Source organism: Homo sapiens, chromosome 14 (assembly GCF_000001405.40).
Source record: "Homo sapiens chromosome 14, GRCh38.p14 Primary Assembly".
Taxonomy (NCBI): Eukaryota; Metazoa; Chordata; class Mammalia; order Primates; family Hominidae; genus Homo; species Homo sapiens.
In genome coordinates this window covers 60102396-60118693 of record NC_000014.9, presented here as the reverse complement: position 1 = coordinate 60118693, position 16298 = coordinate 60102396, and the positions used below count along the sequence as shown (strand labels likewise).

General features: G+C 37.1%; 1 protein-coding gene across 4 annotated transcripts in view; it reads right to left on the bottom strand.

Annotated features, from left to right (window-relative positions):
- Positions 1–16298, bottom strand: part of PCNX4 (pecanex 4) — a 56311-nt gene that overhangs the window by 29528 nt on the left and 10485 nt on the right. For 3 of the 4 annotated variants that reach the window (XM_047431699.1, XM_047431700.1, NM_001330177.2), the window contains exons 2-7: positions 10367–11108; positions 3815–3994; positions 3233–3720; positions 2875–2975; positions 2634–2753; positions 2–365 (exon numbers count right to left, since the gene is read on the bottom strand). In XM_047431699.1, the coding sequence (XP_047287655.1) occupies positions 2–365; positions 2634–2753; positions 2875–2975; positions 3233–3720; positions 3815–3994; positions 10367–11055 (1942 nt within the window). In that variant the 5' untranslated portion in view covers positions 11056–11108. The remainder of the gene's footprint in view (position 1; positions 366–2633; positions 2754–2874; positions 2976–3232; positions 3721–3814; positions 3995–10366; positions 11109–16298) is intronic. The other variant, NM_022495.5, reaches the window with a different exon arrangement.

The following is a 16298-nucleotide window of genomic DNA, read 5'->3' as shown; positions in this document are numbered from 1 at the left end:
CCTAAACTTCCAGCTGCCATTGCAGTCTGCAGTACAGCAGTCAACCTGGGCACCATTTGGTAGTAGTACACTGTATCTGCACACACACAGGCTGTGGTGCCTGCTGCTCCTGGCCAACTCTGAATAGGTCGGGGAAACCCCACCAAGAACACAGGAAGGGTGAAAAGAGGGAGTAAGGGAGAAGAGAGTAGTGTAGAAAAAACTATGATGACCAACACGAATGGAGAAAAGACAATGTTGAGTATACATAAAGTGGCAGTTGTTTTTCGACGTTGTTTTTTCTCTGTCCATGATGTCAAAAGCACAGTCACGGCAAACTGCAATTTAGAGATGAACTGAATCAAACGATCACGTATGATACCAACCTGTAGAAATGTAAAAATTATTTTTATTTATCCTTAGAAGATTTTTCATGAATTTTCAAGATCATATAAGACAGACTATACAGTAATTTTATTATTGCCCCAGTATTTTTGAAGAAATAAATCTTATTCTTTGATTTTTTTGTTAATTTTCTCCAACCTCATAATTAATAAACAAGACTATATTTTAAAGTTTGTTCTTAAAAAAAAAAAACAGTAACACTAAAGAGAGCTGACAGTGTACTAACTATGCTTTAAGGCTGAACCACTGTAGGCCACAAATTAGATAATGCAGAAATTGACAAGTTCCTAGAAAGACACAAATTACTAAAACTGGCTCAAGAAGAAATAAAAAATCTGAATAACCTACAAAAAGTAAAGAGATTGAATAATTTAAAAACTACCCACAGAGAGAAGCTGAGGCTCAGATGGCTTCAATACTACAAAATATTACATACCACAAAACATTTCAGATACATATTGAATACTACAGAACATTTACGAATAATCAATACCTATCCTTCACCAACTTCTACCAGAAAATAGAAGAGTATGGAACACTTCCTAACTCATTTTAGGGGACCAGGCAATGATATCACAAGGAAAGAAAACTAGATAAACACACCCCTCCGCCCACCTCAGCCTCCCAAAGTGCTGGGATTAAAGGCGTGATCCACCGTGTCTGGCCAGAGAAGGATATGTTCTAAGAAATGTGTTCTGCAGTATCTTGAAGTATTAAACATGGAGTTCCTATATACAACCAGAAATTCCAGTCCTAGGTAGGTATACCCAAGATAAATGAAAACATATGTTCACTAATAACGAGACTCATCATTGAGTGAATATTATAGAGCGTACATACACAAACCTAGGTGGTATAGCCTACTACATACCTAGGCTATATGTTATAACCTATTGCTCATAGGCTACAAACCTGTACTGAATGTTACAGTACTCAATACCATAGGCATCTGTAACACAATGTTAAGTATTTGTGTATCTAAACATTGAAATTGTACAGTAAAAATACATTATAAAAGATAAAAAATGGTATACCTGAATAGAGCACTTACTATGAATGGGACTTGCAGCACTAGAAGTTGCTCTAAGTGAGTGAGTGAGTGGTGAATGAATGTGAAGTCCTAGGACATTACTATACACTACTGTAGATTTTTAAAACACTGTACTCTTAGGTTACTCTAAATTTATTTTTAAAATATTTTTCATTCTTCAGTAATAAATTAACTTCAGCTTACTATAACTTTTTTATTTTATACTTTCTTTTTTACTTTTTGACTGTTTTGTAATGACACTTAGCTTAAAACACATTGTACAGCTGCTCAACATTTTTTCTTTATATCCCTATTCTATAAGTTTTTTTCTATTTAAAAATTTTTAACTTTTAAAACTTTTTTGTCAAAAATGAAGATACAAAAACACGTATCAGTCTAGGCCTACAGAAGGTCAGATCATTAGTATTACTGTCTTCCACCTTCACATCTTGTTCCACTGGAAAGTCTTCAGGGGCAATAACATACATGGAGTTGTCATCTCCTATGATAACAATGCCTTCTTCTGGAATACCTCCTGAAGGACCTGCCTGAGGCTGTTTTACAGTCAACTTTTTTTTTAATATGTAGGAATATACTCTAAAATAATAAAAAGCACAGTAAGTACATAAACCAGTAGTTGCTTATTGTCAAGTACTGCATACTGTACACAATTGTATATGCTATACTTCTATATGACTGGCAGCCCAGTAGGTTTGTTTACACCAACATCACCACAAACACGTGAGTAATGAGCTACCCTACAAGGGCTATACCACTAGCTGATAGGAATTTTTCATCTCCATAATAATCTTATGAAACCACCGTTGTATATGTGGTCTGTCATTGACTGAAACGTCCTTATGCAGTGCATGACTGTACTGATACATGCTATAACATGAATGAACCTTGAAAACATAAAAGTGAAAGAAGCCAGATGCAAAAGATCACATGCTGCAGAATTCCATTCATGTGAAGTATCTAAAATATGCAAATCCATAAAGACAGAAAGTAGATTAGTAGCTGCTGGGACTACAGTGGGTAGTAGGCGAGATGGAGAGGGGGAATGGGAAATAACAGTTGAGGTTTCTTTTTGGGATGTTGAAAATGTTCTAAAATTAGATTGTGGTGATGACTACAAAACTGAATATACACCACTAAATGGACAAATATTATAGTATGTAAAATATATTTCAGTAAAGCTGTTAAAAGACACACTTACCAGTAAGAGTCTGAGTCCTGTATCCAGGCTTCTGTTCCACCATATGTCTGTACTGGAGATCAAGTGTACTGTTGATACAATGACTGTCTCCAATAAAGCATTTTCTGTATTCTGCCATACCTGCAGTATACAAATTATCCATTTTTATCAGGTAGAATTAGATAATCTAAGCAAACTATTAAACAAAATTACAATAAAACTTAGCAATAGGAAAATACTATTAAACACATATTAGGATTACCATTCTAAAGGCTCTTGTGAATCCAATACAGACAGACACTGAGTGGAGCCCTTGTAAGGAACTGTCCAATGAAAGAAATGCTATCATGGCAAAAGGTGATACTAAAACAAAACAAAAAGAGAGAAATTTAATTAAGGCAAAATAGCTCCTTCTACCATATTTTATTCTGGCAAATACACATTTTTTATGAGCACATTTAAGCGATGAACTAAAAAGCCAATAAACAAAAAACCATAACATAAAAGAACAAACACTTGTATATGGTATAATACCACACAAATATGGGAATTGAGTAATATTTTTGAATACTTCCAGGATATGATTTGTAACACAAGGTTAATAGACTTTATCTTCCTACCTAAAGTTAGCAAAATCCGTCTGACAATACCAATCTTCATGAGCCTAGTTTGCTTCTCAAAGAATACAGTCACAGTTTGCACATCCTTCGGATAAAAGGGATTTCGGAAAATTCCAATGATATATACGCTTTGAATTTCTCTAAGTATCCACAGTATTATAAGTAATATCATCAAACCATAGCCCACAATAGCCTGGGAATTGCTTTTAGAAATCTGTGAGAAGCCAGCAAAGTGATGAAGCAAGCTAGTTTCTAAAAGAGCCAAGACTAATATAATGATGTAGAAAAGGCATTCCTTCCATGAAAAATGTTTTTCCGGACCACTGGGTAAATCCTTAGATTTGGTTCCAATTTTGTGACCCATATCACTTAAGTTCAGACTCAGCAAGAAACCAAATCCAGTCATGAAAAGAACCACACCAACAGTGCTTGGAATGAAATATGATGCTATAGCTGTTCCAGCAGACATGATGAACATTACTAATAACCTGTACAGAAAAAAAAAAGAAAAAAATATTTACTTGAAAAGAAAAATGTTCTTTAAGAATATTACATATAACATCAATATTTAAAAATAAATACCGTAAGTGGGTTGACATAGATGAGCCTCCAAGGCCGAACTCTAAAACCTGCTCCATTGCCCATAAGAGAAGTGCATCGGGTGGGGGCAGAGTCCCAAGTGCCCACAGAAAGGGTAAAAATACAAACAAGATGTGTAAAATCTGATTCATGTGTTCTAGAGCTGGCATATTTACCACAAACCTATATAAAAAAAAAGAACATTTAAATCACACGAAATATATAGAAGAGGATCTTTTAAGAAAAAGCAAAGCAACACAGAATAACAACACACTCCCTTCCAAAAAAAAACCACACACACACACCACAGAAAAGTCTTAGTCCCAACTTACAAATGATCAATACATACAAATTGTGACAAGTGTCCTTCTACATCAGCAACTACCCCTATACAATTGTGTACAAGCTTAGCATTTAGAGAATATGTTAATTCAAATGTGCAAAGGAGGAGGAAGTAATTAAAAGCCATCACTGAGTAGTAAGAAAATTGAATACAGGAATTTGTAAAACTGAACAACTGAGGCCAGAGCAAAAACATTTCTCCCCTAAATGTCTAAACTACTACATTGGCTGAAATTCTACCAATGATTCTTCAGAGTTTTAAAATTTTATAATTTAAAATTTCAAGTAACTTTGGAAAGTCAAAGCCTTACCCACATTCATACATTAGCAGCTAAGAAAGAGGGAAAGCTCTTCTCTTCCTCTTTGTCTTGTACTGTCCCGCTCCCAGGACCCAGAATTTAACATTAGAACGGTTAATATCAGAAATGCGCAACTCAGGTTATGACTGTATCTCTGCAGCTTAACCTAAGAACTTAACTAGCATTTACAACACTTCCATTTTGTATAAGCAGTGGTATGAATCTGAGAACACAAACTTGCACACTACAATTTCCTCATAAAGTAGTGACTACTTCTACCTTAAGTGGAGAAACTCAAACTTGGCACAGCACTTAACAGTTAAATGTACCATCATCAAACTGCTTCAAATAATTTAATTTTAAAGCACAGAGTACAAACATTATCAATATATTACTAAATTTTTAAAAATAATGCTAGTAAACACTGTGTCCAGAGACCAATAAGGTCAGAGTACTTCTGGGGTACCAAAGATAACATTCAAAAGAGACAACTAAATCCCAAAACTTATAGCATAATTGTACTTGAATACCCAAACTACGGGAAATCCAAGTTGAGGAGAAAGACATTTCTGGGGCCGGGCGCAGTGGCTCACACCTGTAATCCCAGCACTTTGGGAGGCCAAGGCGGGCAGATCACCTGAGGTCAGGAGTTCGAGACCAGCCTGGCCAACATGGTGAAACCCCATCTCTACTAAAAATACAAAAATTAGCTGGGTGTGGTGGTGGGTGCCTGTAATCCCAGCTACTAGGGAGGCTGAGGCAGGAGAATCGCTTGAACCTGGGAGGCGGAGGTTCCAGTGAACCGAGATTGCGTGATTGCACTCCAGCCTGGGCAACAAGAGCGAAACTCTGTTTCAAAATAGTAGTAGTAGTAATAATAATAAGACAATTTCTGAAATAATTATCCACTTAAGAATATGTTGACAGCCCCAAAGCAAATGTATAGCAATTATGGATATAATATAGTAACGCCATTTTATGTTTGCTCACATAGATGTCAGGACTATGCCAACTAATGTGCTCTGCCTCATAATGTATGCCCTTCAAATTTGTTTTGTTTTTGAGACGGAGTCTCGCTCTGTCCCCAGGATGGAGTGCAGTGGCGCAATCTCGGCTCACTGCAACGTCTGCCTCCCGGGTTCAAGCGATTCTCCTGCCTCAGCCCCCCAGTAGCTGGGACTACAGGCACACGCCACCACGCCCAGCTAATTTTTGTATTTTTAGTAGAGACAGGGTTTCACCATGTTGGCCAGGATGGTCTCGATGTCTTGACCTCGTTATCCGCCTGCCTCGGCCTCCCAAAGTGCTGGGATTACAGGCGTGAGCCACCGCGCCTGGACCAAATTTTTATGAGCAGAGAATTAATGAGCAAAACATTAACAATGTGATGTTAAATTAGAGGACAATACTTTGTTAAAATAAAATTCATTTCATTCTGAGTAGAAACCATTCAAGTAACAGAAAATCAAGAAAATCAAACCACACATAAATAGTAAGCCGCAGGAAGGTCAAGGAAAACATGTAGATTGGTACACTTTTTTTTCCCCCAAGACAACACTCCTCTATCAAGGATAGGATAATTTGTGTAAAAATAATGTATGCTCATAAAATCTTTTATCAAAACTAGATTCTACCCCTAAATCTCTTTTGGTCCTTTAACAATAAGCAATGGCAAAGTAAAGTATTCGTATACAAGGATAACATAATTGAAGTAATCAAACATTGTGATTATTCTCCTGTATATAGGACTTAGCTCCAAATGGATCATTATTGTGGTTAATTCTTTAATATGGAAAAACACTTAAATTATAATACTTCTGATAATTTAAATTCTAATACTTATGATAATGTAATAGAAATTTTCTAAGGTAAAAAAAAATCTCAGTTTTTAAGATGAAAACTTAGTTTGGAACCTAACAGCTATAAAAATGTTTCAAATTTTGCACACTCACTAAGATCCACATGCCAAGAAAAAAGATTTTTTCTACAGTGGCTAAGATGATATAAATGTGTATCATTCATTCAAACAATTCCTGAGTGTCTGAGCTAAGCATTGTAGATTTAATGTCTGTCTTTGATAAAAATTAAAATGCACAGAAGAAGTCATTTAAAAGTATTATTATACAACTGTACTAGGTAAAGAATGGGGAAGGAAAATATTACTACACTGCGGGGTTCGCCTCTTCTGCTCCCTTTCATATCTTCTGAAATAAAATTAAGAAACAATTTATCTGACAACTGTCCAAATTTGAAGAGTCCATGCATTTCATACATCATTTGGCAGCAGTATCACACCTATTGTCTAGAGATGATCTCAATTCTATTATTTTCTTAATCAAAAGTGAAACTGGAGGTGATTTTTCTGGATAAACTAGTCATTTTCTTCTTTAAAAATAGATGTGGGGACTGGCTTTGTCTTTTTAGTTACAGATAAACAAAAACAAAAAACTCTTTGTAATTATCAAATCTTAAACATTAAAACTATATATTAAATCCAACAAGATTTTAGTAAAAAACCTTTTATGTACTTTTAGAAATGAATAATGCAGAATGTCGGGAAAACCAAATTAAAAGATTCTTTTTTAAAATTAAAGAACCTAGGATTCACTTTGAATCCAAAGATTACATCAGGCATTCAATTTCTGATCTCAGAAATGGGATACGGAGACAGTAACTCAAGAATTTGTATTCTGAAAATAACCACCTTATAAATTTAAATATTTTAAAGGCAATCATGTGTATACACACATTTAAACTCAATTTTAATGCTAACTTTTCAAAATCAAGTATTTAACTGGAATATATTTTATAGTCAGTAAATGGTAGAGGTATTAAAAAACCAATTATAAATGGATTTCCTGTTGATTAATCCTCCCCTTACGTTTTCGATTAGGTGAAGAATTACATGGGCATTACATTGTCCTCTGGTTCATAAATGTAGTGTAACTAGAAGAGACTAAAAGTTAAGAAATTGCAAACAGACACCCAAGGACAGGTCAGTTTCAGTGCCCAAACTGACTAAATATTTTAAAATGCCTTGTCTTAATCAGCTTGGGCTGCCATAACAAAATATCATAGACTGAGTGGCTTAAACAACAGAAATTTATTTTCTAACAGTTCTGGGGGCTACAAGTACAAGATCAGGCTGCCAGTATAGTCAGGTTCTGGTGAAGACTCTCTTCCTGGCTTACACATGGCTGCCTTTTTGCTGTGTCTTTTTGTAGCAAAAAGAGAGACATCAAGCTCTTTGGCATCTCTCCTAAGGGCACTAATCCTATCAGACTAGGGTCTCACCTTCATAAACTACCTCCCAGAGGCCCATCTCCAAATACCAACACATTGGGGGTTAGGGCTTCAACATAAACATTTTTGAGGGAACACAATTAGTCTATAACATTCCATCCCTGGCCCCTCAAAACTCATGTCCTTTCCAAATTCAAATGCAAAAGACATTCATTCCATCCCCATATCCCCCAAAGTCTTCACTCATTCTAGCATTAACTCTGATGGCTAAAATTCAAAGTCTCATCTAAATCAGATATGGATGAGACCTAGGTACAATCCATCCTGAGGCAAAATTCCTCTCCAGCTGTGAATCTGTGAAACCAGATGAGTTACGTGCTTCCAAAATCTAAGGGTAGGGCAGGTATAGAAGAGACATCCCCACTCCAATAGGAGAAACAGGAAAAAAAGGGTGATGATCCCAAGGAAGTCAAAACCTAGCAAGGCAAATTCCATTAGATCTTAGAGCTTGAGAATAATTCTGTTTGGTTCCATACTCTGCCCACCAGGCCACTGGGGTGGCAGGTCACCGCCAGTGCTCTAGGTGAGGGTCCTGCTTCTGTGGCTCTGAAGTTCAGTTCTGCTCCCGAGGCTTTGGGTAGAGGCTAGCTGACTTGTTGAAACAGGTGGTAGCCCTCAAGACCCTTAAATCACCTTTGGCATAATTTTCCCCTTTTCTTGAAGAATACTGCACTTTTGTAGCTGAACAGTTCTATCATTACATCCTGTCAAATCCAAGAAGTTCAACTGTCGGCCTTCATTACTTCCTGTCTCCAACCACTTCAATTCAAACTGGCAGTGTTTCTACTCACATAATGCCAAAAGCTCTTTACTGAGGGACAGTCCAGCCCCACACTTTTGGTGTTCTCTTCAGAATATGCTTTCTCATGTTTTACAATATGGATAATCCAGGCTGAAAATTTTCCAAATCTTCAAGTTCTGGTTCCTTCTCTTGCTTAACAATCCCTTCTTCAATCCATCTCTCTCCTTTCACATTTTACTAGAAACAGGAGAAGCCAACTGCTCCTTTCAACACTGCTTTGAACTCTCCTTACGTAGGTATCCAACTTCATGGCTCCACAAAACACTAGGACACAGTTCAGCTAAGTTCTTTGACGCTTTGTAACAAGGACTGCCTTTCCTCTGGGTTCAGGGGACTTCAGACTTCATCAGAATCACCCTTAATGTCCATATTTCTAGCATGCACATCAAAACCCTTGGCTGGGTGTGATGGCTCAAGCCTGTAATCCCAGAACTTTGGGAGGCCGAGGCGGGTGGATCACTTGAGGTCAGGACTTTGGGACCAGCCTGGCCAACATGGCGAAACCCTGTCTCTATTAAAAATATAAAAATTAGCCGGGCATGGTGGCGCATGTCTGTAATTCCAGCTACTCAGGAGGCTCAGGGAGGAGTATCACTTGAAGCCAGGAGGCGGACGTTGCAGTGGGCCAAGATTGTGCCACTGCACTCCAGCCTGGGCAAGAGAGTGAAGACTCCATCTCAAACAAAACAAAACAAAGAAACAAACAAAAAAACCTCTTTCAGCCTCTACCCATTACCAACAGTTACAAAGCCATTTCCACATTTTTAGGTATTTGGTACAAAGGCATCCCACTTCTTGGTAGCAAAATCTTAATCAGCATGGGCTGCCATAAAAAAATGCCATAAGCTGAGTGGCTTAAACAACATCAATTTACTTTCTCACACTTCTGAAGGCCGAAAGACCATGATCAGGCTGCCAGTATGGTCAGGTTTTGATGAGAGCTCTCTTCTTTGACTTGCAGGTGGCCACATTTTTGCTGTGTCCTTAGATGGCACAGAGAGGGACAAATCAAGCTCTCTGGTACCTCTTCTCATAAGGGGACTAGTCCCATCATACCAAGGACCCACCTTCATGACCTAATTACCTCCCAAAGGCCTCATCTCAAAATACCATCACATTGGGGTTTAAGACTGTAATATATGAATTCTGGAGAGACACAAATATTCAGTCCATAACATGCTGAACATTTCTACCTGGACACTAACCTAAGAAAAGAAAGCTGCAATCTACGGAGACGGAGAAAGAAAAGTCAAACTTGAAAAGGCAAGTAAAAGGGGTTATCAAACAATTTTGTGAACAATTATGTCTGTTAAAAAAACTATTTTCTACTTTTCTTCTGTAACAAGTTGGTTTTTAAAAAATCAATATTACTTCTACTATTGTTGCTATCATAAAATTAGAAATAAATTTTGTATTTGTCTTAAATTCATTCAATCTGTATATAATATTTATATGTATAAATTTTAATTTCTTCTTTCCCCCCACAGGAAAGTTCCATCTCCTTACACAGGTTTTAGCCAGGCTATCTTAAAAACTCAAAGCTCCTTATTTAAAGTGAAACACAAAATTGAAAAGTTCCTTATCTCAAAAAGGGTTTTTTAAAAAAACTCTTTAATAAGTTTTAACTATTGCTTTAGTATGTTTTACAGAGATTAATCCTAAAAGAATAATTATCAAAATAACCTGTCACCCAATGGTTTGATGATTTTTAATCCATGGATTCATTTTTTTGTAACACTAAAAGGAAAGCTCTCTTACTCTGTATACTTAAAAACAAAGTTAGTTACAAAGTATTTGGTAGGTTTTTACCTGTGTGCCAGATCCACAGAAACAAAGAAAAAAATATAAAGAGGTCTCATAAGAGGAATAATTTCATAAGTATCCTGTGTTTGGAAAGTCGCAGTCTCTGTAGCTGTGTTTACAATTAAAGAATATTCTGCTATACATAGTGTCATCCATCCAAAGAAGAATAGTAGAGCAGTGCCTCCTGTACTGCCATACAGCAAGGTTATTCTATTTGGGAGCAGATACCATGTTCCAAGACCACACGCTAATCCAGCAAGAATAGAATGAAAAACTGTATTGGCTACATATTTCTTGCCAGGAATGAGAAATTTGACAGTCTCAGCACCAGTACAACTGGTAAATTCATGCTCATCCTCCTCTGCTAAGATATCCGTGGTTAGTATTCTTTCTACTGTTGTTGATTTGTTTTTGGCGTATAAACTTGTGAACTGGATGACAAATGCAGTAAAAAGCATTAATCCACCTGAAAGTGCTGCTGTATAATAGTCTTTCAGGATGCCTAACTGGTATAAAAGTGTTCCGACTCCACCCCAAACCCATGGCATTAGAAAAAGAATAATTTGATTAACATATATGTAAGGAGGGGCACAATAGCCTAATTTGAATCGAGGGCCTCCAAGAACAGTCTGTGGAAAGCGCTTCAGAAAGAAGTCCTGCTTGTAATCATTCAGTAGAGGCACATCTGGACTCATCCTCACTCGGGATTATTCTGAAAGTCACATGCTTTTCTGTAACACAGCAGTTTCTAAAAAATAAAAATTAAAAAAAGTCACTGTTTGAAAATGTCATTTAAAACCTATGAGGAAAAACCTCACATTACTATTTCATCTCCTCACTTCCTTCAAGGGTAGGATTTATAACTGTACTTCTCAGACCCCTTTCTGGCACATACTTGACACTAAGTTGCTAGTTTTTATAAACAAAACCAATATGCTCAGTTATTTTATTTTTTGAGAGAGGGTATCACTCTGTCACCCAAGCTGGAGTGTACTGTGATCACAGCTCACTGCAGCCTTGACCTCCCAAGCTCAAAGTGATCCTCCCACCTTAGCCTCCTGAGTAGCTGGGACTATAGGCACATGCCCCTATGCCTGGCTAATTTTTTATTTTTTGTAGAGATGGGGTTTTGCCATATTATCCAGGCTGGTCTTGGGTATCTGGGCTCAAGTGTTCCTCCTGCCTTGCCTCCCAAAGTGCTGGGATTACAGGCATGAGCCACTGTGCTCAGCCTTGTTTTTTATTTTTTTAAAAATCATATTCTTTATTAATTTATAATCTAACCTTTGGAATTAGACTTTAACTCACATATTTAAATTCTGAGGTCAACAGAACGTTCAAAATGCCAATACTTTCAACTCAAATCAATTTAGGCTACTTTTATTCAATAGCCATATAAATCTAAGTATAAAATAATATAGGTTATCTTCAGTTCAACTTTTCCCTATTCCTTGCAACTTATTCTGAAAAACAGTTACCCTACACAAAACCAGCTAGCAAAGTATTACTTTGTGGATCATGTTAGGCTAGAAAGGAAAAATTAAATTTAAAGCCATCTTAAATTAAATAGCCTTTCTTCCAGTCAGTTTAAAAATAATCTTTCCTCTAGTCAGTTCTACCTAACCAATATCAATTCTGGAGAGAAATTTGGGGCAGCATGCAAAGTTTGGGGGTCACCTTTAAGAATTAGTACCTTAGATCACCTCTTTGTTATACCTCTATGGAGTTTTTAAAATTGTAAACATCTATCTTCTTACATCTTCCAGTCATTGGTCTTAGTTCCGCATAGAATGAATCACAGCTTTAACTCACATGACAGCCCTGCAAGTACAGCTGGCCCTCCGTGTCTGTGGGTTCTGCATTCATGGATTCAACCAACCACAGACAGAAAATAGTCAGGAAAATAACTGTATCTGTACTGAACATGTACAGATTTTTTTCCCATTATTATTCCCTAAATAATAAAGTATAGCTATTTATATAGCATTTACATAGTATTAGGTATTTTAAGTAATCTAGAGATGATTTAAAGTACAGGGAGGAAGTGTGTAGGTTATACGCATATATGATACCATTTTATATCAGAGACTTGAACATCCTTGGATTTTGGTATATGAGGGAGGTCCTGGAACCTATTCTTCACAGATACCAAGGGATGACTATACTCACAAAATAACAGAACTACAGGGCCAAATCGAACCTTAGTGGTCTACAGGTCAATCTCAGGGAATGGAAAGAGTGCCTCCTTCCCCTCCGTACGAGCTTGTCTCCTGCACTGACGTCAGGCTCAGTGTACGATATTCCACTGTAATTGTCTTATAGAAGCCAATGGGTAAGGAAGGTCACACTCTTGTGGGAGGGGATAAGCATTCTGACACAAGTTATCTATGGAAGATGCCATCAGACAGGAAAATGAACTTGGAGGGATAGACTGGATTTTGAAGAATGTGGATGTGCCTGAAATTTCCCCAAGGAGTTAGGTAAAAGTTGGCCCTTCTGGCTCTACTGAGATAACTTGGAAACAAGGTAGGGTGGCTTGCTGGGAAGGAAAGTAAAGATATTTTATAAACCAGATTATCTATCTGAATGTTAGTATCCCTATTCATTTCCCTTTTAGTATTTCTGGGTCTTTTGTAAAGTTTTGTTTAAATGTTTTCATTCATTTGATGAAATCATCTATGATTATATTCCAAACAGTGCAGTACCTGAAGTGTTATTATTGTAGAAACATGGAAAGCTGCCCATGATATACTGAAAAATAAACACCCTACTGATTCCATTTGTATCCAAAAAAAAGAGTACACACACCTATATATATAGATGGCTGTATATGGTTTGCGTATGTATAAAAAGTTTCAGAAGGAATATTAACTAAGCTATGTGTATTTTATCTGTAACATTTAACATCTCTTCAAATTACCAAATGTCCTTCAGAACTGTCAACCTCACACCCTGTAAATACATTCTGTGTTTTTCTTGCTGGGTACCACTGAGCTCATGCTCTCTCCTTTGCCTAGGATGATGTCCTCTCCTCCCTTCCCTAATTGGTAACTTTAAATAACTTTTAAGACATTTCTGAAAATTTTGCAGAGCAGTTTGGTCTAGCTGAGTATCTCTTCTCTCTGTATACCAAAACCACTGCTTGTTCTACATACTACAGGTTAGGCATCACAAATCTGAATATCCAAAATTCTCCAAAAGCTGAAACTTTTTAAGTGCCAACATGATGCCCAAAGGAGATGCTTAGTAGGGCATTTCTGATTTTTGGATTTCGAATGCATAATTGGTATAATGCAAACATTCCAAAATCTGGGGAAAAAAAACCCAAATCCAAAACACTTCTGGTCTCAAGGATTTTGAATAAAGGATACTCAACCTACACTCACCTTGTAACACGTATTAGTATACGGCATTTCTCTGAGTAACTTCTACTAATAATATGTTATTTGGCATAGGGGCTGATACGGTTTGGCTGTTTCCCCACCCAAATCTCATCTTGAATTGTAGCTCCCATAATTCCCATGTGTTGTCGGAGGGACCTGGTGGGAGATAATTGAATCATGGGGGTGGTTTCCCCCATACTGTTCTTGTGGTAGTGAATAAGTCTCACGAGACCTGATGGTTTTATAAGGGGAAACCCCTTCCACTCGGTTCTGATTTTCTCTCGTCTGCTGCCATGTAAAACATGCCTTTCACCTTCCACCATGATCATGAGGCCTCCTCAGCCATGAGAAATTGTGAGTACATTAAACCTCTTTTTCTTTATAAATTACCCAGTCTTGGGTATGTCTTTATCAGCAGTGTGAAAACAGATGAATACAGAGGCCACATCTTGAGATTCTTGATTCCCCATATTTAGCAAAATACCTTTCCATGGAGAAGCATGTAATACTTTAAAGACATAGCTTAAGTAAGACAATTAAAATTGGAAAATATGACATATTGCTGTCTTAAACGGAAGCTGGGAGTATTTACCATTTTAGCTCTTTTTTTTTTTTTTTTTTTTTTTTTTTTTGAGATGGAGTCTTGCTCTGTCACCCAGGCTGGAGTGCAGTGGCGTGATCTCAGCTCACCACAACCTCCGCCTCCTGGGTTCAAGCGATTCTCCTGCCTCAGCCTCCTGAGTAGCTGGGATTACAGGTGTGTGCCACCACACCCAACTAATTTTTGTATTTTTAGTGGAGACGGGGTTTCACCATGTTGGTCAGGCTGGTCTTGAACTCCTGACCTCATGATCTGCCCGCCTCGGCCTCTCAAAATGCTGGAATTACAGGCGTGAGCCACTGCGCCAGGCCGTATTTACCATTTTCAAAAACTTGCAGCATATCCTACTCTACTCAAAACAGTAAGCCCATAAACTGTTTATTGAGTTTTAAAATGTTTGGAAAGTATCTATACTTATTTTTTACGGAATAATGCTATCTATTCATAGTATTACTGGCTCAGGGAAGATTCTGCCTAGATCAATATATCACAAAGCAACACAGGAGCAGGATGAGCCTAAGGGAGAAATATGGCTGTGTTTCTCCTGTGGAGGAAATGACTGGAGAATTTTAAGATGTCAGAAGTCCAATTTTAATTTGCTCCCTGTCCCTTACTATGCTTTAATCTCCATCATCAGCAAAGCAGGAACTAGTTCATACTGAGAAAGAAGGGCAGAGGTAGAACAGTAGGCATAAGAAGCAAAATAAAGTGGGAGAAATCAAGAATTGAGTGAAAGCAGACCAAGAAGCACAAAGAGAATGTATGTTCCCTCAAGAAGCCTAAGAAGCATGGGAGAGAACACTGATATGGTGATTTATTTTAATGAACTATTTTTAAAAGGCTGAAAGATACAGGATCATATATCCCACAGAATATACCTTGAAAAGGGGTCTGTGGTCAGGGCAGTTTGAAAAATTATAGACTATACTGTCATCTTGAAGAGTCACAATGGATATCAGCAGACTAAAGCCTTTGAGATCTTTGAAATTAAAAAACACTTCTGCAAGTCTGCTTAAAATGTGTCATTTGAGTTTTCCAAACTTATTTGACCTTGGAACCCATTTTTCCCATGATATCTAGTAACAGATCATGTAACTAATGTTTTATGGAAACTACTTTAAGAAACACTGGCCTGGGTTTCCATCAGGATCTTAAAGATTGAGCCAAACCAAGAACTGAAAGGGTATGCCAGTTAAGGAGGAATGTCATGAACAGAGGTACACAAGGAAAAAACTATCAGAGAAATTTGACAGGTAGCAAGCATATCAGACCTAAAAACTGATTTAAAGTATGGGTGTTTCTATTTTCTTTTTAAGGATTAAAGAGTATTTAGCAACTCATTAAGGAAGTATAAAGACAATTACGATTCACTGGTAACCTTTGACATTTAAATTACAGATCCTGGAACATTTAAAAATATTTAAGAATTTGAAAATACTTTATTTGTAGGAGGCAACAGTTTCATTTATACAAAGAAATCTTCTAAATGCCAAACTGAATTACTAGCATAGAAAACAAATTCACAATAACTAAAATGTACTCCCCAAGTGAGAATTTGGCACATAGTTCTGAAAGACTATTAATTCCCAGAAGAACTGATGCATTGGTATGGATGCCACCTCTACAATATTCAAATAAAAAACGGCTGAAGACTTAGGAAAAAAACAAAACTGTGAAAAGAGAACTTAAGGGATAAAGATGACATCACAACACTAATTTAAGCCATAGGCTTTCTTCACATACTACTCTGAAAGTGGGCCAACAAAATAGCCACAGAAATGCTGCTTTATTTGGGAGTCATATTTGTTACACATTACTCACAAGAGTAAGAAACAGAGATCAATCTGGCAACGTACTGAGAGGAATTCTTAGTTACCAAAACTGTATGTAACTCAGACATATATAACACCATACTAAAAATCTGTTAAACAAAAAAACAACAAAAAGTGGCCAC